The sequence below is a fragment of the Homo sapiens genome, chromosome 3, assembly GCF_000001405.40.
Source record: "Homo sapiens chromosome 3, GRCh38.p14 Primary Assembly".
NCBI classification, from domain to species: domain Eukaryota; kingdom Metazoa; phylum Chordata; class Mammalia; order Primates; family Hominidae; genus Homo; species Homo sapiens.
Genome location: NC_000003.12, coordinates 187,056,976 through 187,079,753, shown reverse-complemented (window position 1 = coordinate 187,079,753; position 22,778 = coordinate 187,056,976). Strand labels below are relative to the sequence as shown.

The window sequence follows — 22,778 nt, the reverse complement described above, 5'->3', positions numbered from 1 at the left end:
AGAATTCCTCTTCCCATTATAAACTTGTTTTCTGATTAATCCTGAGAACACCTGGATGGGGACATCAATGCTTTGGGTGGTGGGATTTCAGGGGTACTGAGAAGGCCTTTTCCTCTCTCCTGAGCTGATGCCATTATCCCATCCCATAGCATGAGATTCCTGAGCGAGTGTTCCTGGCCTAAGTGAGAGTGGAAAGCGGTGTTAGAGCCACTTTCTGTCACATTACAACACATCCCAGAGGGCTGCGCCGGGGGTCATGAAGGAAGTGGAAACCAAGGACATCCAGAGGACAAGGACCTGGGACTAGAAAGGAGGTGGCAGTCTCTGAGTCCTGTGTGTCCTTTCTCCCCATCTTGCTCATGGCTCTAGAGGCCAGGCACTGGTATGGGTTCAGCACACTGCCAGGCCATGAAGCACTTTCTAAGAACAGTATCTAAGACACTGAAAGTCGGGCTTTGTCAGTGAGAACCCTACTAGTCGGGTGGGAGTGGAGGTTGCAGGTGCTTGGTATCTCTGTGGGCTCAGCCTTCATGGTATTCTCCCTGTGTGCATGCCTGTCTCCAAATTTCCACATTTCAAAAGGACACAAGTCATATTGGAGTAGGGGCCCAACCTATTCCAATATGACCTCATCATCGTCACTAATTACATCTGCAATGACCCTATTTCCAAATAAGGTCATAATCTGAGGTACTGGGGGTTAGGACTTCAGACATCCAAATCTTGGGGGGACACAATTCAACCTGTAACAAGGGGGTGGGCAGTTCACAGGAGAAAGGAATTATCCTCTCTCCCCTAACTCATGCTCCTTCTCAAGATTTGTGTCCAAACATTTTAAATCCTTTTAAGACATCATTCATTTAAGGATTTTAGAGTTTTGGAAACCGAGGGAAGGATCTTCCTTATGTTCTGCTTTCTGCCCGACTCCATCTCTTCTTTGATGCAACAGGTTAGTTATGTGAATCCAGGCAAGAACAAAAAATAAAAATAAAAAAATCAGTAAACCAGTGAATATTTCAAAGAGGTGATCCTTCCAGTAAAGTTCACATTTCTTTTCCTGGAGTACTGAGGAGTAAGTCTAAGGCTAGAGGAGCCAGTGGGTAAGGACTGGGGGGTTCAGGATCTCAGTTGTGTCCTCTTTGGAGATAAAAGTTGGCAATCAGCAGTTGTTCATTTAGCAAATAAGAAGAGAGAAGCAGCTTAAAGAAACACACACACATTTATTTTAAAATTTGACATAATCCTTGGGTAATTATTAGCATTTTTCAGAAGTTTCCGAGACTGATATCTCAACTCCAAACCAATAGCAATAGCTTATTTGATTGGTGGAAGGATTAGAGAGGGTCCCATGATCCAGATGAATAGATGGCTATCAAAGAAGACAGAACCCCATAGACACAGGCAGCATTAACTCATAATTTTTAAATTAACTGTCACAAATATGAAACATCTCACCAGACCAATGATAACGTCCATATCATAATTTGCATTTTACCAAAGTGTCCACATAGACAGCACAGAACTAAAAGTTCTGTAGACTTCAGAATCATATTTAAATTAATTTGATCCTTTATATTAATAATAATTAAAAACTAGATTCTACCCAGTGTCGTCCCAGTCTTCACACCAACATGTATGTCCTGCTGTCGGAATGCCACCTCCTCTGCACTCAGTGTCATGATTCGAAGATTAAAATCAGTGTGTCAAATCAGAACATAAACCAAGCCAGGAATTCATGGGCCCAGAGAGGGGTAAGGGGCTTGTCCTATACAGCAGTTAAGCAGCCCACGTGCTCCGCCCATTCCCAAGCAGAATCAGATTGGAGCTGCAGGCAGCGAGGAGGAGGGCGTGTTCTGTGTTGTCCACTGCTTTGCATGGTTTCTTGGGTGTTCCAAGGAGGACAGTTGTTGTCTCCCAATAAGACAGTTAATTCCCTGAGGACAGGACCTCTTCCACACTAGCCTCCGTCACAGCAGGGTGCATGCAGCCGAGGTGTGAGCACAGAGCAGGTCCCTACTAAAGGCAGGAAGGAAACCAGCATGAACTGAGCACCTACTACGTGCCAGGTACAGAGCCAGGACAGGTGCTTTCCTGTAATCCTCACAAAAGCAGTGAGATAGGATCATCATCCCCACTTTACAGGTGTGGAAACAGGCTCAAGGAAGAGCATTTGCCCAGAGTGGCACAGCTAGTCAGTAGGGGAGCATCAATTTGAAAATCCAGGCTTTCTCACTCCAGGGCCCTTTCTAGCTACATAAGCTGAGGGTTTGGCAGTAAATGAGGAGCCCAGCTCCGAGATGGTTAGTTTGGAGCCCAAACATTAGATCCCCTTGAGCACATGGGGCCAGCCTTGAGAGTGCAGAGCCCTGGGTCTAGGAATCCTGGCTCTACAGCATGACTTGGTGATCCTGTGCAAGTCTTTTAACCTCTCCACACCAGGGCTGCGCTGGTCCAGCAGGATTCCCTATCAGGGAGAGGGGACTTAGTAAAACCATCTGGAGAGCATGTCTGCAAACTACAGTGGGCCAGCCTCTGCCCAGAGAGCCTGAAGTTGCTCACTTGCAAGGAAGAGGTGCAGAGCATTGCAATCTGCTACCACACCTCTCACACCTGGTGAGAATCAGTTCTGATCTCCAAGGTTCTGACCTCTGAGAGTGACGTTAAGTCCAGAGAGCCACACCACTACACCCTGAGAGACCTTCAGCAAAAGGCCCGTGAGCTCAAAGAAATTGGGGTCAGGATGCTTTTAAAGCAAAAAATGCTTTAAAAAAAAAAAACAGATGGTGGTTAGGAGAAGATTTGGGGGTAGGTATTGAAAAGGAAGAATGGGACTGGTATGTAAACCCAGCTGACAGGACAGGGTCAGGCCAGGCAGAGCCTGGAGGAATCACGTTTTGTGGCTCTGGATTGCCTGGTATCTGTCGTGAGGCTGCACTTGCTACCTCAGACATGGGTAGGAGGTTTCCTAAAAAAATATCTTGAGTCTCTAAGTTCAGGTAGATCTTAGAAAATAAACATGGGAAGAAAGAAAAACACAATTCAAACGGCTCAGATGTAATCTGCTTGCCATGTTTCTTCTCTTCCTCTAAGACTCATCTGAATGCCCCCTGTGCTATAAAGCCTTCTCTGATCCACAAACACAGTTTTAAGTGCGTGGCCCTCCTGGGTGCACAGAGAGAGCAAGCCCATCTCTCTCCAAATCCCCAGTGCACTGAGCACACTGAATCCTACCTGCCTGTTCAGATGTCTGCCTCTCTCACTGAACCGTAGCAACTTGAGGATAGACACTGTATCCTTCTCTACCTTCCATCTCCACATGGAGAGGGAAAGTGGGCTAACCAAGACCCTTTAATCATAAGCACCCAGTCTAAGGACCAGCCCAACCAGCCAGAGTGATAGGAACACGTTCCAGGGGCATGGACCTCGGGAGCAACTTTTCTCTGGAGGCGCGGAGCATGTTTCCAATCCCCTGTACCACCTACTTGCCCCCCAGAGCCACCCTGCATTGGGCACAATTGTAATTTAAGAGAATTTCTTTAAAACGTGAAATCAATATTTAGATGCAGACTTCAAGCAATATAGAGCATTGGTTTGTGAGAATGGCATCATTCTGCTGGGAAAAACAAAGCCCAGCTTTGGCAGCCCTGATGGGAGAGATAGACCTTGCATCTACCAAGGTGGAAGGCGGGGAGGATGCTGTCTGGAAAGAATGCTAGATATGTGTGCATGTGTGTGGCAGGAGGCTCTGGGCTCATAAACTGTCTGGCTACAGGGAAGGCTGGACCTGATTTCCTGACCACAGGCTCTTGAAGTCCCCATGGTCTTGCTGACAGAGGCCCCTAGAGTAAAAGGAGCAGGCTGGAATTGTTCAGGAAAATGTTCTTCCCAGGCTGGGGTGGCCAAGAGACCATTCATTTAATGCCTGATGGAGAAGAGTGAGGAGCCTGTGCTTAGCAGTGAATGGTCCGGAAGCCAGGCAGTGTGGCTTTTCCAAGCAGGTAGATGTCCTCATCTGTGCCCTGGTTGAGATGCTTCACCAAATTCTTCTCATAGAGCAGCGGGTGGTAGGCACCCATCGTGCAGGCACTATCGAAGAACTTCTGGTAGTAGTAGCACACGTCAGTCTTGCGCTTGGATGGGAGGAACTCATAAATATCCACCTGGTCACACAGCGTCATCATGATGATGATACCTGGAGAGGGGAGCAGAGGTGAGTCATGCCTGACAACCCACCCCAGCACCCCAGAGCTCTGCCCAGTGGGTTCAGCAGCTCATGACCCCAAATTTGGAGAGCTTTCCCTCTGGAGTTTCTATTTATGACTGTGATTCCCAATCTAAGTTTCAGCAAGCCAAGCCCAGCAGTGTTCCTTAGGATGCAGGGCTGTGTGAGGGTTATACACCTTTGAATCCCCAGCACCTAGGCCAGGGCCTGGTGAATAATAGATCCTCCCTAAATGCTAGTAGATTAAATGACTCCATCAATCAGCCAATGAATGTATCCATGGAATAATTTATTTGGAGAAAGAGGACAAGATTACTGAGCTGATTGAGGAGACAGTGGCATCATGTGTAGTTAGCACTTTCTAGCACTGTGACATCCTGCAGAACCTCTTGGATGGTGCTATTTGGGAGCAGATTTTTCCTTATAGCATTTGCATGAAACAGTGTTGGGGAGGGAAGACTTTTCTTCCCTTAGCTGGGCAAAGGGACAGCTGGAACAGGAGCACTCCACAGTCTGAATGATGAGATGTAGAGAAAATCCAAGAAGGGGGCCCCTGGCCAGCATTGTTCCAATAAACTCTGCACAGCACTGTTACTGATCCTATCTTTATTTAAATACTTGATATTTCACTCATCATAATTTTTACATTAATTGTGTTTTCTGAAGATACTGTAGTGAAATATTATTTATCTTGATGACTGAGTTTTTAAGGGGTACGCCCTTAAATTGTACACCTGAGAAAAGTGCCTTGCTCCCCTCGTCTGAGGTGCAGCCCCGCTCCTCATTTTCCCACCTCCCTCCCCTGTTCATAGCTTCCCTTCCCTCCATCTTCCTCTGCCAAATTCTCCCCTCTCCAAAGCCTACCGAACACTACTTCCTCCATGAGGCTATAAGCAACTGTCCAGCTAGAAGGTGTCCTCTCTCCTATGACACCAGGTTGTCTCTCCCTTCTGGCACAAATTGAATATTGCCTCAGACATCTGATTGACCTCCCCAATAGATGCCCTCAGGAAAAAGGATTCTATCTGATTTCCCTCTGTATTTTAGATAGAACTTGGCATGGTCTACAAGCAGAGCAGAATCCTAGCAATTGTTTAGTGAACAAATGAACAAACGAATGACTGAATGAGACCCCAGAAAAAAAGCTCATCTCTTCTAGAAACAAACATGCAAGGTCTTTTCCCCGACATGAACTCACCAAGCATCCCAGAGGATGGGGGGTTTGGCTGAATCTCTTCTGGGGAGATTTCTTGAAGAATGTCCCATAGCTCCCAAGGCATCTGGGGCTTGAGGATGTAAAAGGGCTGATTGGGGTGCAGCTTACGATAAGTCTTGTAGTTGTTAAAGAAATTATAATCCGGATTCTGGTACCACTGAAAAAGAAAGAAGTGGTCCTCTCAAGGGAGAAATGGGCCAGTGAGCTGCTCCCCCCAGGAGTCATCTTCATCAGTGGACATGGGGAGGGGAAAGGATCAACAAGTGTTGCTCCTGAGGCACAGCCCTTTTCTTGCAGCAGACTACAGGTTTCTCTTCCAGCCGCAGGTTTCACTGGATAGCAGGGTGGGGCCTAGCCTATAGCCTGTGCTTTGGGGGAGAGTTGAGCTTGGCGACCCAAGATCAGCTTCAGGCTTCAGGATCAGAGTCCGGGAACACTCTCAGAGCTGAAAAGAGCCCCACGTACCATCTGGCCCCATCTCTCATTTTTAAAGGGGAGAAAACTAGAGCATAGGACATCTATGGGTTCAGAGTCCTTGTCCTGACCTAGGCAAATTTGAGTTCTAAGTGAGATCAGTGCAAAACTGTTGAAAGTCAGATAGTGAGGGTGCCAGGGGTCGCCAGAGCCTGTCAGGCATTGGTAGATCCAACTTAAGAGTTAAGTGTCCCAAGATTAGTGCTCTCTGCCCTTCTCAGGCCATGCTCCTGAGGCCACAGCAGCCTGCATCAGGGAGAGGTCAACTGACATGCATTAACAGTGAGAGGACTATTCCAGAGAGGTTAGAATCCAGCAGGCCTGCCACTCATGTCTCCTTCCCCGGAAAGAGCTGCTGTTGCAGATCTGCGCCTTCTGCTTAGTAAATCAAGTCCTGGAATGGGGGACTTTCATTCTCCACATTTCAATTTCCCCATCTGTAAAATGGGAACAACCACACTTCCATCTATCTCCTTAAATTGTTATGAGAGTGAAATGGGAAGAATTCTGGATATTGGAAGTGTGAAATAAAAGTGTGCTAATATTATTTACAGGAGTAACGGCAACTACTCTCGAGTTCTGCTGATGCTCATCACGAATAATTGCATTAATGAACAATCTACCCCAGATGCTGGGAACTCCAGCCACTATCCCAGTAAATACTATAACTGGGAGACAATACCTGGCAGTGCTGGCACGGCAAAGAGAGTAGCTGGTATAGGACAGGAATACTTCTGAATCTGCTAGTCCAGATGAAATGGGGTACCCTAAAACTCAAATACCCAGCCTTTAGGAATAGCCAATGTCAGCCATGACTTTAAAAACCTAGGAAATCAGGAAAATCTGTAGACAGACAGGAAACTCAACCCCTATTTCCCACGGACACCCACTTACCTTTGGGATATCTGAGTGGTATACAGATGGGTCCCATACAATTAGGATTCCTTCATTGTACAAACTGTCTTTGAGGAAGCGCTTCTCTGTGGTAACCAACTGCAGGAAGAAAGAGATAAGCTGTCGCTTGAACATTCATATGCAAATGTTTGACATGAAGTAATAGCTGACATAGCACAAGGTACAGCCTGAGGCCCCAGAGCCCCATGAGGCTTCTAAGTTCTGGTGCAGCACTTAACTTCGGTGAAAGAAAGGTAAAGATACCAGCCTGCACTGTGTTGACCTGAAAGGACATTTATCACAAGCCACTAGCCATAGAATAGAAAGGGTTCCATCCAGTCAGGCTTTGAGATTACGGGGGCAAGGGTACAGTGAAAATAGCACGGCATCCCAGCCTCCTGGAGTCACAGCTTGTGTGGTGGTCACAAGAGTGGAGTCTGAAGTCAGGGACTCATATAATCAAAATTATCTCTGGAATCCTTTCAATCACCTAGAGAGTCCAGTACACTACATACACATCCTGATGGAGACTGACATAGGCTCTCTCACGAAGTCCAACACAGCCAACACAGTCCAACACAGCCAACACAGTCCAACACATCTGTTCCAACACGGAACAGATGGCTGTGCTTGTGGTTGAGCACCAGATGAAATATTCAGTTTGTGTGCAGAGGCCAGAGTGCATGCAAAAATGCACACCTCCCAACAGGAGACCCTCACCGGGCTGGTGAGAAGCTCATGTGTGCCTCTGCTGGCTGAGGGAACCAGCAATGGCTGGTTATGGCCTCTCCCCACCACACTGGCTCCTGGGCTGGCCTGCACATGGGTAGTTATACCTGCCTTAAACATGAGTGTGACAACCTTGCTTGAAGAATTCTGCAAAATGTATTAAGAGCATTTTTTTTAAAGCACATTTATACTCTTTGACTCAATACTTCCATGTTTAGGAATCTATCCTAAGAAAAAATTCAAATTCTGGGGGAAAATAATGCATGTAAATGTTAATTATTTATCAAAATAAAGAAAAGTATTTGCAAAAGATACTGGTCTTGGATACAAAAGGATCCAGGATCAACTCTTGGCTTTGCCACTAACTTTCCTATGATCTTGAGCAAATAAGAGTAATCTTACTAGGCCCTCATTTTCTTTTTCTTTTTTTTTTTTTTTTTTTGAGGCGGAGTCTCAAAAAAAGGCGACACAGCCTGTGTCGCCCAGGCTGGAGTGCAGTGGCGTGATCTCGGCTCACTGCAGGCTCCGCCTCCCGGGTTCACGCCATTCTCCTGCCTCAGCCTCCAAGCAGTTGGGACTACAGACGCCCGCCACCACGCCCGGCTAATTTTTTGGGGGTTTTTTTGTATTTTTAGTAGAGACGGGGTTTCACCTTGTTAGCCAGGATGGTCTCGATCTCCTGACCTCGTGATCCGCCCACCTCAGCCTCCCAAAGTGCTGGGATTACAGGCATGAGCCACCGCGCCCGGCCGGCCCTCATTTTCTGATCGGTGAAATGGGAATAACACATTTGCTCTGCTCTCTCAAATATGAGCTGTCTTGCGGATCAAATGGAGATCATGAGTGAATGAGAAAGAAAAGTAGCCCCAAAGGCTTAAGAATGAAGGGAGCCATGTCCCTCTTAAGAAAGCCAGAATTAATATATGAAATCAGCTGTCAACATTCACCTTAAAAAGCAGGCGGGAGATGATGTTGCCCAGGTAAAAATTGAGAGGAATAAATGGCAGAAATCAAATCAAGAACTGACTGAAACGAAAGCAAGAATCATGACAATAATCCCTCTCCACCTCAGTCTACATCGCCAAGGCTGAGACCTAATCAATGTCACTGCAGTATCTGGAAAAAACTATGGCAAGAGAGACGGCCTGTGTGCAACCCAAAGAATAGCAAGCAATCTGCCACGAGCCTCTACAATCACTGAGCTATCCCCATGCCCATACCTTCCTACAGATGTAAGGAAGTTCCTGGAAGCCTGAAGAATATACTCTCATTTCCTCAATATATCTTTGAGACAAGAAATATTGGTGGTCGGTCTACCTTGGCTGGAGATTGTGCAGCTATACTGGGTGCTAAGGAGCCAAAGGAAAGACACAGTCCCTGCCCTCCAGGAGGTCACAGGGTAGTGGGAAAGGTGGACAATTGAACAATGGTTAACACGCTGTGATGGTGCAACAACAGAGGTAGTATGAGGATGGCCATAAAGTGAGCGAGTGTTGGGCCGGGTGCGGTGGCTCACACCTGTAATCCCAGCACTTTGGGAGGCCGAGGCGGGTGGATCACAAGGTCAAGAGATTGAGACCATCCTGGCCAACATGGTGAAACCCCGTCTCTACTGAAAATACAAACATTAGCCGGGCATGGTGGCGGGTGCCTGTAGTCCCAGCTACTCGGGAGGCTGAGGCAGGAGAATCACTTGAACCCAGGAGGCGGAGGTTGCCGTGAGCCAAGATTGCACCACTGCACTCCAGCCTGGCAACAGTGAGACTCCATCTCGAAAAAAAAAAAAAAAAAAAAGAGCAAGTGTTAGGGGGCAAAAAAGAAGATGCCAAGCAGAGACTGTAAGCATGAGAGAGGGGGTGTCTGAGACACGGGGAACCACGTGCAAACCCCTGAATGTGTGAGTGTGTGGCAGAGACTGCCAGATGTTACCCAGCATCCATTCGCTATTTCTTCCTTGACCACCAACACCTCTGGTTTTTACTTTTGCACATGGCAACCTAAAATAGACTCCCTGAAATAAAAAAATTTCATAGCCTCTCTTATAGATAAATATGGCTGGGTGACTAATTCTGGCCAATGGAATGTAAGCAAGTGTGGCTTCCAGGAACTATCCTTAGAGGCAAGGTTATGCCTTTCCTTGTTCCTTCTTCCTCCTGGCTGAAATGTGGATGTGATGGCTGGAGCTTGAGCAGTCATTTTGGACCATAAAGTGGAAGTCATATGCTGAGAACGGCAAACCCACAAAGTAGAAAGAACTTGGATTCTGACACTGGAACACCATATTAAGTTTGGAATGTCTACTTTTGGACTTCTTTTGCATGAGAGAGAAATGCATTTTTTGTTTTGTTAAGCTAGTGTGGGGGGATGTGTGTTCCTGTCTCTTGCAGGAACAACTAGTACAGTGTGTACCCTGTTTGGGAATTGCAAGTAGTTCAGTATGGCTAGGATACAGAGAAAGAGCTGGAAGAGATCAGAGAAATGTAGACAGAGGCCAAGCCAGGGAGCTTAGGATTTCTTCAGTAGGTTATGGGGACCAGGAAAGGGTTTTAAGTAAGGAAGATCTAAACATGCTAGAGTTCTGAATTAGTGTTTTTAGAAAAAAGAAGACCACAAAGAAGCTCCTGTTGTCACCTAAGAAATAATGGAGTAAAGAAAAGAAGTTACAATTGTCGGCTGTAGATGTGAAGACTAATTGAATGTTGAGAGTGAGGGAAAAAGGGGACCAAGGGGACTCCTGGACCTCAGGCCATTTCCTGCATAAGAACAGAGAAAAAGGAACAACTGGTATATGCCTGTGGGAGTAAGGTGGGGTGGAAATTTGAAGTTCAAGGATGAGGGCTGGGCTCACTTGAGGTCAGGAGTTCAAGACCAGCCTGGCCAACATGGCGAAACCCTGTCTCTACCAAAAATACAAAAATTAGCCAGGCGTGGTGGCAAGCACCTGTAATCCCAGCTACTTGGAAGGCTGAGGCAGGCGAATAGCTTGAACTCAGGAGGCAGAGGTTGCAGTGAGCCAAGATCGTGCCACTGCACTCTAGCCTGGCGACAGAGCGAGACTCCGTCTTGAGAAAAAAAAAAAAAAAGAAGAAGTTCAAGGATGAGACTACTGGCCAGGAGTTCCCTGGCTGACAGGCCATAAGAACTAAGAACAGAACCCACATCTTGTAACTTTTAAGTACTGTCCTCCTTCCACTGGGAACGTTGTAACTTAACAACAGCCCTTCAGGTCTATAGTCCAAGGGCAGAGCAGGCTTCCTGCTAGATGGGGATTTGTAAGATAGACGTGACTGAGCTGGTGACAGGGAGGCCTGAGGACAGAGGGCCAGTACTCCCTATCCTCATCCACCCTATTCCCCTGAAAACAGCTGTTATATTAAAAGCAAAGTGTCTTTTCTTTAGCTATGCTTCTTTCTATGCAGAGTACTGATGCCAGGTGATATATACATACTCATGAGGAATAGCAATAACTGGGATTTTTAAAAAATGTCTCCCCCTGCTATAGCCCCTTTCCAGCAATTTTGAGTATGCAAAGCAGGAGGCCAGCAACTCCTGGCTCCCTGAGACTTTCCCAGCTGTGGCTTCACCGTCCTCAGAAATTCCAAGAGATGCACGAAGCTTTCTTCTTTACAATATGTGAAAACAACAGACACCATTTAATGATGCTTACTACATGCTAGGTACTGTCATACCTCAACTCAGTTTATCTTCACAACAGCCCTAGGAAGTAAGTGTTAATATGTTCATTTTATGATTAAAGAAATAGAGATGCTAAATGCTAAGTAACTTGTCCAAATTACACAGTCAGTAAGTAAGAGAGTCTGAATTGGATTCTTAGGTCTAGCTCCAGAGACCACACTTCTTTTTTTTTTTTTTTTTTGAGATGGAGTCTCGCTCTGTTGCCCAGGCTGGAGTGCAGTGGCACGATCTTGGCTCACTGCAACCTCCGCCACCCAGGTTCAAGTGATTCTCCTGCCTCAGCCTCCCAAGTAGCTGGTACGACAGACATGTGCCACCACACCCAGCTAATTTTTTGTATTTTTAGTAGAGATGGGGTTTCACTGTGTTAGCCAGGATGGTCTTGATCTCCTGACCTCGTGATCCACCTGCCTCGGCCTCCCAAAGTGTTGGGATTACAGGCATGAGCCACCACACCCGGCCCAGAGACCACACTTCTAACCTATGTGCTATAATGCCTCACATAATGTGGGCAGGGTAGGGTACCACAGCTCTTGGGGAAGGACGTCAGAGAACACTGGATAGGAGTATGGAGTGTCAGGAGAATTTGCTTCTTGCCTGAGTTGTAGTATGTCACAGCTGGATGATACTCAAGGTATTAAATTCAGACCCATCATTTTCCAGATGGGTAAACTGAGGCCCAGAGAGACAAGAGAATTGTCTAAGGCTACGATGAGTTTGTGGCACAGTTAGAACCAGAGCCCAGAGGCAGGCTCCTAACAGATATTCTTTCTGCTCCAGCAGGACTACACCCATAAAACCATCAGACATTCAAATAAGCAAGCACACCATGAGGGTCAGGTCACCCTCAGTCTTCCTGTATCCAATGGAAAAACAGCCATTCACTTGAGCTACTTGAGATGAATGAGACAGTAATCCATGAAAATAGAAACAGGTGAAGATGAATGATAGTTTTATCCAGAGAAGAGAAACAGAAAGTGGCTGGGGCTGGGATCTGGTTGAGGGATAAGGGAGAAGCCAGCAAGCACTCCCCTCCTGGAACTTTACACATGGCTCTGAACTCACCCACATTAACACCATCTATATGAAGTTCAAAGATTTTCTACCAAAAAAAAAAAAAAAAAAAAAGGTTGCCTTGCCAGGTGCAGTGGCTCACACCTGTAATCCCAGCACTTTGGGAAGCTGAGGTGGGCAGATCACTTGAGGTCAGGAGTTCGAGATCACCCTGGCCAACATAGTAAAACCTCGTCTCTACTAAAAATACAAAAATTAGCCAGGCGTGGTGGCGGGCACCTGAAATCTCAGCTACTCAGAAGGCTGAGGCAGGAGAATCGCTTGAACCCCGGAGGCAGAGGTTGCAGTGAGCCAAGATCGCACCACTGCACTCCAGCCTGGGTGACAGAGACTCTGTCTCCAAAAAAAAAAAAAAAAAAAAAAAAAAGAAAGAAAGAAAGAAAAGAAGATTGCCTTAAAACTGGATGGGGAATTGGAAGCATGGGTTCCAGTCCTGCTCTGTGTCTAACTCACTCCATGGTATTAGATGGACCATGTCACATCTCCTGGCCTCAGGTGCCTTATTTAGACATAACCACCTTGTAAGGCCCTGCTGAGGGGACCAGCTGTTCCTGGAAGAATAAAGCTGTTCTCAAACGCCTGTACTTACCTGCAGGGGGAGTGTGACCTGGGTTTGGAGATCCTCTTAGGGGGCAGGGGAGGAGTTCATGCTGAGAATAAGTCATTGGCAGAGCAGCAGAGCCCTGGGGAACATCTGCCAGGAAAAGGCTACACCAGGGCATGGAGTGCTGCTGCTCAAGACACTGTTTAAAGTAACCTTCTCAGTTAGAAAGTAACAAATACTCACTGGGGACAGTTAGAAAATGCAAGAATAGAAACACACACACACACACACACACACACACACGCACGCACGCACATCTTCAGATATTACCACTGTGCATATTTTGGACTTTTTTCTTCTCAAATCTGTTTTCCCTCTGTTATAGACTGAATTGTGTGCCCCCAGAATTCCTATGTTGAAGCCCTAATCCCTAATGTGACTAATACCCTGTTTGGAAATAGGGCTGTGAGGGAGGTAATTAGGATTAAATGTGTCATGTGGTGGGGCCCTAATCCAATGGGGCCAGTGTCCTTACAACAAGAAGAGACCCGCAGAGCTCTCTCTTTCCACCACGCACAGAGGAAAAGCCATGTGAAGACACAGCCTGAAGGCATCCTTTCTCTGATTCGGAGAACTAGTGACTGAGACTGTGTCTGCTGGCCCAAATCAAGAAGCCCCAGAACTCATGATTGCCATCATGATTAAATTTTAGCTCCAATTATGATATTAATAGACTGTATGGCAGGGGTTCCATCAAAATCACCCAGCTCACCATCGCTGGTTTTAGACCCGTTGTTGATGGAAATCTCGCCCACCTCCCACCCGCCCTGCCAACCCATCCAGATACCTGTCTTTCAGTATCTTGAGAAGAAAAGTTGGAGCTTCCAGAAAGCTTTGGTGATTTAAAGTGCTGGTGGCAAACACCTAGAACCAAATCCCACCTCTGTCGCTTACTTTCTGGGCTCCTGTGAGCAACTTAAACTCTGGGAGCCTGAGTTCTGAGGTAAAATGGTGGTTGGTGGTCATACCTCACAGGGTTTGCCATGAAGATCAAATGAGAGAAGGCATGTAAGACCCTTAGATGGTATATATAATATATTTAACAAATGGCATCAACTATTATTTCAAGATAAGCCCCACTGAGTAATCTGGAAATGTCCTGGTTGCAGTCCAGTCAGTGTGGACTGTTGCTAGGCATATAGGAAGTAGGTCTTCTCTCTCCAGCTAGCACAAAAGCTTCCAAGGAAGCCACTGGGTCTTCTTGTCCCATTGTCTCCTCTCTCAGGCCCACAGGGTACAGGAGGTACTGAGTTGAGTCTCACAGAAACCTTCTTACTCTTATAGTCAAAACTGCATTTATTTAAAGACCTGTCCATTTACATATATCATTTTTCCTGTTGACTCTCATAGCCACACCTGGCACAGAAGTGTCACATGCCTGACTAGGTCTGCTGGCCTGAAACCTAACAGTATGACACCATTCTCTATAAAAAGCCACCTTCTCAATAAGAAAAGTGCCTTTTTTGTTTTGCATGCCTTCATCATGGCCAAGGGAGGGGAGCTGAACAAATGTGGGTCCAGATGGCTTTAGAAGAGAGCTGCTAAAGCCAGGCGCAGTGGCTCATGCCTGTAATCCCAGCACTTTGGGAGGCTGAGGCAGGTGGATCACCTGAGGTCAGGAGTTTGAGACTAGTCTGGCAAACATGGCAAAACCCTGTCTCTACTAAAAATACAAAAAATTAGCTGGGCATGGTGGTGCATGCCTGTAATCTCAGCTACTTGGGAGACCGAGGCAGGGGAATCACTTGAACCCAGGAGGCAGAGCAGGGAGCCGAGAGTGCACCACTGCACTCCAGCCTGAGCGCAAGAGCAAAACTCTGTCTCAAAAAAAAAAAAAAAGAAAAAGAAGAGAGCTGCTGTCAGGAGACCTCTCCGTCTGGGAAAAGAACAAGCCACTCAGAGGCAGAATTCTACCAAAGCAACAGCTATTCTCTCAGTGACTTCTGGGTGCCAGATGTTCTCCTTGTGGAGTGGGGGTGGGGACCCCGTTTACTAATCCACAGAAACAGACACAAAATAGTTAGGATAACTGACCAGGACAAAAGATAGAGAAGACAGACCACCAGCTTTTTAGGATATCAAGGTAAGAAAGGGCAATGATAGAAAGTGTCCATCACAGTTCAGTACCACCACAAGTGCTGTCATGGAGCGGCCAGGACTCGAGTACGAAAGGAACAGCCAGATACTTAGTGTTGCTTACAGGAGGTGAGAAAAGAGAGCTGACTTGCCTAAGAAGCAGCAGGAAAGGCTCTCTTGAGGGTGGGTAGTGTATCCCGGGAAGTGGGCCACCTTCCTCGCAGCCCTGGCACAATGGTGCACAGAGATCTAGAAGTGTAATGGGAAAAAAATCTGCTTCAGTAGAAAGCCATGCATTTTCTGAGCACACTCTTCCTCCCTGTCAGATTCTGATTCCACGGGAGCTATTTCGCAACCCTTTGTGAATTGTAGGCAACTAATACATGTGCCTACTGGGCAGGATGCTGCCCAGGAGAGTTTCAATTGATTTCTCCCCTCCCCCTGCCTTATCTCACAGAAAAACTAGTTCAACTCCTTTACTCCAAATTTGTGTTGCTTTGACTTTTCCTTTGAACCAGTTGTAATATCTGCCTGGTTCCATCATACGAGTAAAATAAAATCTTCATGATGAATTCATTTTTAATATCTGTATGAGAGTCATCATCTTACCTTTTTTTCCCTAAAAATTATCCTTTAACAGAAGTTTTGCCTCCCTTCTGCTAGATGCCTCTCAAGTGGTCTCAAGCTGACTCACCTTCCCTGTTGGGATTTGGGAAGGTGGAGTCATTCGCAAACAGGCAGAGGCAGACATTCAGGTTTCAGTAGTGCCCATCGCTACTATTTACAAAGCACTTGCTGCATACCAGCCTCTGGGTGACATGCTCCACACATAGTAACTCCTTTGATCCTAAAAAAAAACCCTGGATAGTAACTATTCATATTTCTGTGTTACAAGTAAGGGAAATGAGGCTCAGAAAGGTAAAGTAAAGCAACTTGCTGAAGTCACTCACACAGGAAGTGTTGGGGGAGGGATCTGATCAAAGCCTGCCTGACTCCAGTACTCTTAATTCCCAGGCAACCTTACTTTGGCCTTAAATACAGTTTCAAATCTTTGCAGGACTGGGGTTTCGTTCTTCACAGTGAGGAAGACTGAATCATCACGAAGAAGTGCTCAGAGAGTAGGTAGCCTCCGCAGTCCAAGAGAGTGCTCAGGGAGGGCTCCTCCCCTCTCCCCTCTCCTCTTTGCTGCTGCCTGCTCACCTCCAGATCCTACCATCCATGTATCAAACAGAGATTGGTTTCTCTCTAAATTCATTCTCTTCAACCTCAAAGTAGCCCAGCATGGCCTGGAAATCCTACTCCATTCATCAGGTTTACTGACGGTCCCACTCACCTCAATGACAATTATAAATCTCTTTGTTCAAACCTTCTCTACTAAAACCTCTTTCCCCCTCAGCCTCCTTCTGACTTGGCCTTGCATGCCACTTTGCAGAGAAAATAGAAGCCCTCTCATCCTTCTAATACTGACTGCCTCCAGCTACACCACTCGCACCTTCTTCCCTCTGACTCCCGCCTGCTGGGGTTCATCCTCCACTACGCTTTGGCTCCACCACCATCATGTTGTGGGTAACTAATCATTTTCTCCTCTTTTTAGTATATTCACTTTCTCCCTCTATCAACTGGTTTCTCCCTGTTGATTTAAAAGAAAGCTTTTAAAATATACATAACATAAAATTGACCATTTTAGCAACTTTAAGTATTCAGCTTAGTACATTCCTATTGTTGTGTAACTATCACCACCATCTCCAGAACTTTTTCAGCTTCCCAAAATGAATCACAGTATTCATTAAACAACAATTCCACATTCCTTTCTCCTCCTAGCCCTTGGCAAACATCATTCTACTTTGTTTCTACTCCAGGTGTTCCATATAAAGTGGAATCATACAGTGTTTGTACTTCTGTGACTGTCTCCCCTACTGACATTTTTTCCAATTTAAAAATTGTATTAAAATACATATAACATAACATTGACTATCTTAACCATTTTTAAGTGTACAGTTCAGTGATATTAAGTACATTTGTATTGTTGTGCAACTATCACCACAAACCATCTCCAAAACTTTTTCAGTCTTGCAAAATTGAAACTCTATACTCATTAAACAGTAACTCCCCATTCCCCCTCCCACCTCACATTCCCTGGCAACCACATTCATATAGTATTTTGTGTGTGTGTGTGTGTGTGTGTGTGTGTGTGACTGGCTTATTTCACTTGGCATAATGTCTTCAGGGTTCATCCATGTTGTAGCCAATCTCGGTATTTTCTTCCTTTTTTAGAATAATATTTTATTGTATGTATAAACCAGCTTTTGTGTATCCATTCAACATCAACAGACACTTGGGTTCCTTCTGCAGTCCAGCTATTGTGAATAAGAGTAGTCTGAATATGGGGGTATGAATATCTCTTCAAGACCCTTCTTTCAATTTCTGTACATATACGCCAATAAATAAGATTATTAGATTACACGGTAATTCCATTTTTAAGTTTTTGAGGCACTGCCGTACTGTTTTCCACAGTGGCTGACCATTTTCCATTCCCATCAACAGTGCCCACGGATTCCGATTTCTGATCATAGAAGCCACCCTAATGGGGGTGAGGTGGTGCTGTGTTGTATTCTTGGGTTGCATTTCCCTAGCAAAAAAGAGTTGAGTCTCTTTTCATGTGCTTACTAACCATTTGTATATCTTGGAGAAACGTCCATTCAAGTCCTTTGCCTATTTTTAAATTGGGTAATTTGATTTTTTTTATTGTTGTTTGAAGAGTGTTCTATATATTCTGTACATTAATCCCTTATCAGATAGATGACTTGCAAATATTTTCTCCTATTATGTGTGGTGTCTTTTTACTCTGTTGAGAGTATCTTTTGATATACAATTATTTTTAATTTTCATAAAGTCCAACTTGTATATTTTTTCCTTTGTTACGTATGTATGCCTTTGGTGTAATAATGACGAAATCATTGCCAAATCTGATGTCATAAAGTTTTTGCCCTATGTTGTCTTCTAAGAGTTTTATAGTTTTTGGTCTACATTTAGGTCATAGATCCATTTTGAGTTAATTTTTATTTTTGGTGTTAGGTAAGGGTCCAACTTTATTCTTTTGCATGTGGATAGCCAGTTTTCCCAGTATCATTTCTTAAAAAGACTGTCTTTTCCTCATTGAACGATCCTGACACACTCATCAAAAATCATTTACACATATATACAAGACTTTATTTCTGGACTTTTATTCTATTCCAATGGTTTATATGTTTGTCTTTGTACCTCACTCTCTCGATTATTGTAACATATGTATTTTTTGAAATCAAGAAGTGAGAGAACTCCAGCTTTATTCTTATTTTTCAGGATTGTTTGGTTAATCGGGGTCCCTTGAGGTTTCATATAAATTTTAGGATAGCTTTTTCTATTTCTGCAAAAAAAGAAATATCTTTTGGATTTTCACAACGATTGCATTAAATCTGCATATCATATTCGGTATTATTGACATCTTAACAATACTTTTTTCAATCTGTGAACATGGGATGTCTTCCAGGTTTTTGTGTCTCCTTTAATTTCTTTCAGAACTATTTTGTAGTTTTCATTGTATAAGTCTTTCAACTCCTTGGTTAAATTCATTCCTAAGTATTTTATGCTTTTTTATGCTATTCTATTGTAAATGGAATTGTTTTTTAAATTTCCTTTCTAGATCATTCATTGTTATTGCACATAATAGAAAAAATGAATATTTTTTGGGTGTTGACTTCGGATCCTGCTACTTTATTGAATTTGCTTATTTATTCAATATTTTATTGTACTGTACCCATCCTTCTTCCTGTGATGAGGAAGGGACAAAGTAAGATGTGTAAGATTTCATCCCACTACTCAGAACAACGTGTCATTTAAAACTTCTGAATTGCTTATTTCTGGAATTTTTCATTTAGTATTTCCAGCCTGCAGCTGACCACAAATAAATGAAACTGCAGAGAGTGAAACCATGGATAAGGGGCTGACTTCTAATTTCAACTTCTAGCTGCCAAGTTACACAAGAAAGAAACTGAGCTGCACCTTTGGCCCCTCTCCCTTTACTTCTCACATCTAATGCGACATTAAAACCTGTTGACTGCAAATCGCAAGCAGCCCTTAAATACATTCTTTTCTCACATTCACCTTCACCCCTACTCTTGTGCAAGCTATCAGCGTATCTAACCCAGACTACTTGTAAGACCTTCCTAACTATGTGTCTTCATCTACTGCAGCCCCTCTGCTCAGATGAAAGCCAGTGATGGTTACAAAATGCAAATCTGATCATGCCATAAAGAAGATGTCTCACCCTGCTGGGTGAGGTGGCTCACGCCTGTAATCCCAGCACTTTGGGAGGCTGAGGCAGGTGGATCACCTGAGGTCAGGAGTTTGAGACTAACCTGGCCAACACAGTGAAACCTCGTCTCTGCTAAAAATACAAAAATTAGTCGGGCATGGTTGTGGGCGCCTGTAATCCCAGCTACTCGGGAGGCTGAGGCAGGGGAATCGCTTGAACCCAGGAGGTGGTGTTTGCAGTGAGCTGAGATCGCGCCACTGCACTCCAGCCCGGGTGACAGGCCAACCCCCCTACCCCCACTGAAAAAAGAAGATGCCTCGGTGCAGCACCATGGCTTGACTCCTTCTTGCTTTCAGCCTTGTCTCTCACCACATAGTCCCACATATACTCACCTCTTCCTGAGTCCTTCCAGTCCCCCATTTCCTTCCACACAAAACTGTACCCATGCTGTTGCCTCTTCCTGAAAAGCTCTTATCCCACCCTTTTCAACATCCACACATTCCTTCTACACAGCCAAGTACCACCTACTTAGGGATTCTGACCTCCTTGAATAGCTCAAATCTCCCCTTTCAGGGCTCTCCTAGTACCTTGACCACTCTCTTCTCTAGTTCTTTTTTGCAAATTTATTTATTTGTAAAACTATTTGATTGCATCATAAGAACAGAGGCTGAGCCTGTTTTGCTCACAATTGTACCCTCCCCTACCAATGTCTGCAAATATCAATAGTAAGTGCAGTTAACGTTTATTGATACATGTGCCAGGTATTGTTCTAAGTGCTTTGCACAGATTTTTCTTATTTACACCTCACAACAACCCTGTAAGGGAATTATTCTCCCTTTTTTAGAGAGAAGTAACTTGATGATCCTTCAGCTAGTAAGAGACAGAGCTGGATTTCAACCCCAAGCAGGCTAACTATAGAGTTTATGTACTGACTGCCACAGTCTACTCAATACTGAATACATTTGTTGAATGAATGAATTAATTAAGAGTAAATGAACATCTCTCCTGGATATTTAGGTAGCATCTTATATAGAAGTGGAGATGAGGTTTTAGTGCTCCCTAAAGTGCTCTCCAGCTCCAGGGTTCCTGACTAGGCATGAGAAGGGAAAGGGACAAAGCTGGTCCTAACCCTCTGTCTGAATTTCCACACTTGCCAGAGCACAAGCAGCCATGAAGGTCCAGCCTCATCTCTCTCTACGGGGCAAGGCCAGCCAATTCTTCTACACCTCCACCTCCAACTTAGCCAGGGGTATCTGAATGTCTCCCTCATTTCCTATGATCACGCCACTGCACTCCAGCCTGATCACTAATAGGGGAGTGATCATTACACTACTCTTGGAGTGGTGTAACGCCTCCCTCATTTCCTGTTCTCCTCTGTCTTGCCAATTCCACTTTCTGGAGTGCCCGGCTATTGCTATTTCCCCAAGTCCTGCCCATCTTTCAAAGTCTAGCTCAACTGTCATTTGCCCCAGAGAGCTTCTTGCTAGCCAGTCCATTCCTTTCAATCCTATCTCTTCTAGTAACAATAAAAGTAGGCCAGGCACGATGGCTCACGCCTGTAATACTAACACTTCAGGAGGCCAAGGTGGGTGGTTACTTGAGGTCAGGAGTTCAAGACCAGTTGGGCCAACATGGTGAAACCCCATCTCTACTAAAGATACAAAAATTAGCTGGGTATGGTGGTGCATGCCTGTAATCCCAGCTACTCAGGAGGCTGAGGCAAGAGGATCGCTTGAACCCAGGAAAAGGAGGTTGCAGTAAGCCAAGATCACACCACTGCACTCCAGCCTGGGTGACAGAGCGAAACTCCATCTCAAATAATAATAATAATAATAATAATAAAAGTAATACCAAAAGCCAAAATATAAATTTGAACAACAAACAGGCATTGGAAGCACCTAGAGGTGACTAGAAGATGTGACGGTGATAGAAAGTGATTTTCTTAAAAAAAAATTAAAAGGTATTAGAGGAAGAACAAAAAAACAAGATGGTGACCACTTACAAATAAGTTAAGTTCCTCAATTTCTATCCCGTTATAAAAATATTCTTATGATGGTCAAATAGGAACAGCTCTGGTCTGCAGCTCCCAGCGCGATCGACAAACAAGACGGGTGATTTCTGCTTTTCCAACTGACGTACCTGGTTCATATCATTGGGACTGGTTGGACAGTGGGTGCAACCCATGGAGGACGAGCCAAAGCAGGGTGGGGCATCACCTCACCCAGGAAGCGCAAGGGGTCAGGGGACTTCCCTTTCCTAGCCAAGGGAAGTCGTGACAGACGGTACCTGAAAAAATGGGACACTCCCGCCCAAACACTGCGCTTTTCCAACTGTCTTAAAAAATGGCACACCAGGAGATTATATCCTGTGCCTGGCTCAGCGGGTCCCAGGACCACGGAGCCTTGCTCACTGCTAGTGCAGCAGTCTGAGATCGACCTGCAAGACAGCAGCCTGGCGGGGGAGGGGCGTCTGCCATTGCTGAGGCTTGAGTAGGTAAACAAAGCAGCCCTGGAAGCTCGAAGTAGGTGGAGCCCACTGCAGGTCAGCCAGGCCTGCTGCCTCTGTAGACTCCACCTCTGGGGGCAGGGCATAGCTGAATAAAAGGCAGCAGAAACTTCTGCAGACTTAAACGTCCCTGTCTGACAGCTCTGAAGAGAGCAGTGGTTCTCCCAGCACGGTGTTTGAACTCGGAGAACGGACAGATTGCCTCTTCAAGTGGGTCCCTGAGCCCCGTGTAGCCTAACTGGGAGGCACCTCCCAGTAGGGGCCGACTGACACCTCATACAGGCAGTTGCCCCACTGGGACAAAGCTTCCAGAGGAAGAATGAGGCAGCAATATTTGCTGTTCTGCAGCCTCTGCTGGTGATACCCAGGCAAACAGGGTCTGGAGTGGACCTCCAGCAAACTCCAACAGACCTGCAGCTGAGGGACCTGACTGTTAGAAGGAAAACTAACAAACAGAAAGGAATAGCATCAACATCACCAGAAAGGACATCCACACCAAAACCATCATCAAAAACCAAAGGTAGATAAAACTACAAAGATGGGGAGAAACCAGAGCAGAAAAGCTGAAAATTCTAAAAACCAGAGTGCCTCTTTGCCTCCAAAGGATCGCAGCTCCTCGCCAGCAACAGAACAAAGCTGGACGGAGAATGACTTTCACGAGCTGACAGAAGTAGGCTTCAGAAGGTCAGTAATAACAAACTTCTCCAAGCTAAAGGAGGATGTTCAAACCCATGGCAAGGAAGCTAAATACCTTGAAAAAAGATTAGATGAATGGCTAACTAGAATAAACAGTATAGAGAAGACCTTAAATGACCTGATGGAGCTGAAAACCATGGCTTAAGAACTACGAGATGCATGCACAAGCTTCAATAGCCAATGCGATCAAGTGGAAGAAAGGGTATCAGTGATTGAAGATCAAATCAATGAAATAAAACAAAAAGAGAAGTTTAGAGAAAAAAGAGTAAAAAGAAACAAACAAAGCCTCCAAGAAATA

The 22,778-nt window shown here is 45.2% G+C and overlaps 1 protein-coding gene across 4 annotated transcripts in view, besides 4 other annotated features; it reads right to left on the bottom strand.

Moving 5' to 3' along the window:
- Positions 316-425: an enhancer, noted in NCBI's record as "active region_20964". NCBI's record gives its function as "activates an Ori minimal core promoter by ATAC-STARR-seq in GM12878 lymphoblastoid cells {active_cell/tissue: GM12878}" and the evidence as "EXISTENCE:reporter gene assay evidence [ECO:0000049][PMID:35858748]".
- Positions 1,201-22,778, bottom strand: part of ST6GAL1 (ST6 beta-galactoside alpha-2,6-sialyltransferase 1) — a 148,028-nt gene continuing 126,450 nt past the window's right edge. For all 4 annotated transcript variants that reach the window (NM_173216.2, NM_173217.2, NM_003032.3 and 1 more), the window contains 3 exons: positions 6,807-6,905; positions 5,421-5,595; positions 1,201-4,192 (listed from right to left, as the gene is read on the bottom strand). In NM_173216.2, the coding sequence (NP_775323.1) occupies positions 3,951-4,192; positions 5,421-5,595; positions 6,807-6,905 (516 nt within the window). In that variant the 3' untranslated portion in view covers positions 1,201-3,950. The remainder of the gene's footprint in view (positions 4,193-5,420; positions 5,596-6,806; positions 6,906-22,778) is intronic.
- Positions 6,687-7,646: an enhancer, noted in NCBI's record as "NANOG-H3K27ac-H3K4me1 hESC enhancer chr3:186789896-186790855 (GRCh37/hg19 assembly coordinates)". NCBI's record gives its function as "activates a minimal SCP1, AML or CMV promoter by ChIP-STARR-seq in primed H9 embryonic stem cells {active_cell/tissue: H9 hESC(primed)}" and the evidence as "EXISTENCE:reporter gene assay evidence [ECO:0000049][PMID:30033119]".
- Positions 12,944-12,993: a silencer, noted in NCBI's record as "silent region_14993". NCBI's record gives its function as "represses an Ori minimal core promoter by ATAC-STARR-seq in GM12878 lymphoblastoid cells {active_cell/tissue: GM12878}" and the evidence as "EXISTENCE:reporter gene assay evidence [ECO:0000049][PMID:35858748]".
- Positions 13,941-14,120: an enhancer, noted in NCBI's record as "active region_20963". NCBI's record gives its function as "activates an Ori minimal core promoter by ATAC-STARR-seq in GM12878 lymphoblastoid cells {active_cell/tissue: GM12878}" and the evidence as "EXISTENCE:reporter gene assay evidence [ECO:0000049][PMID:35858748]".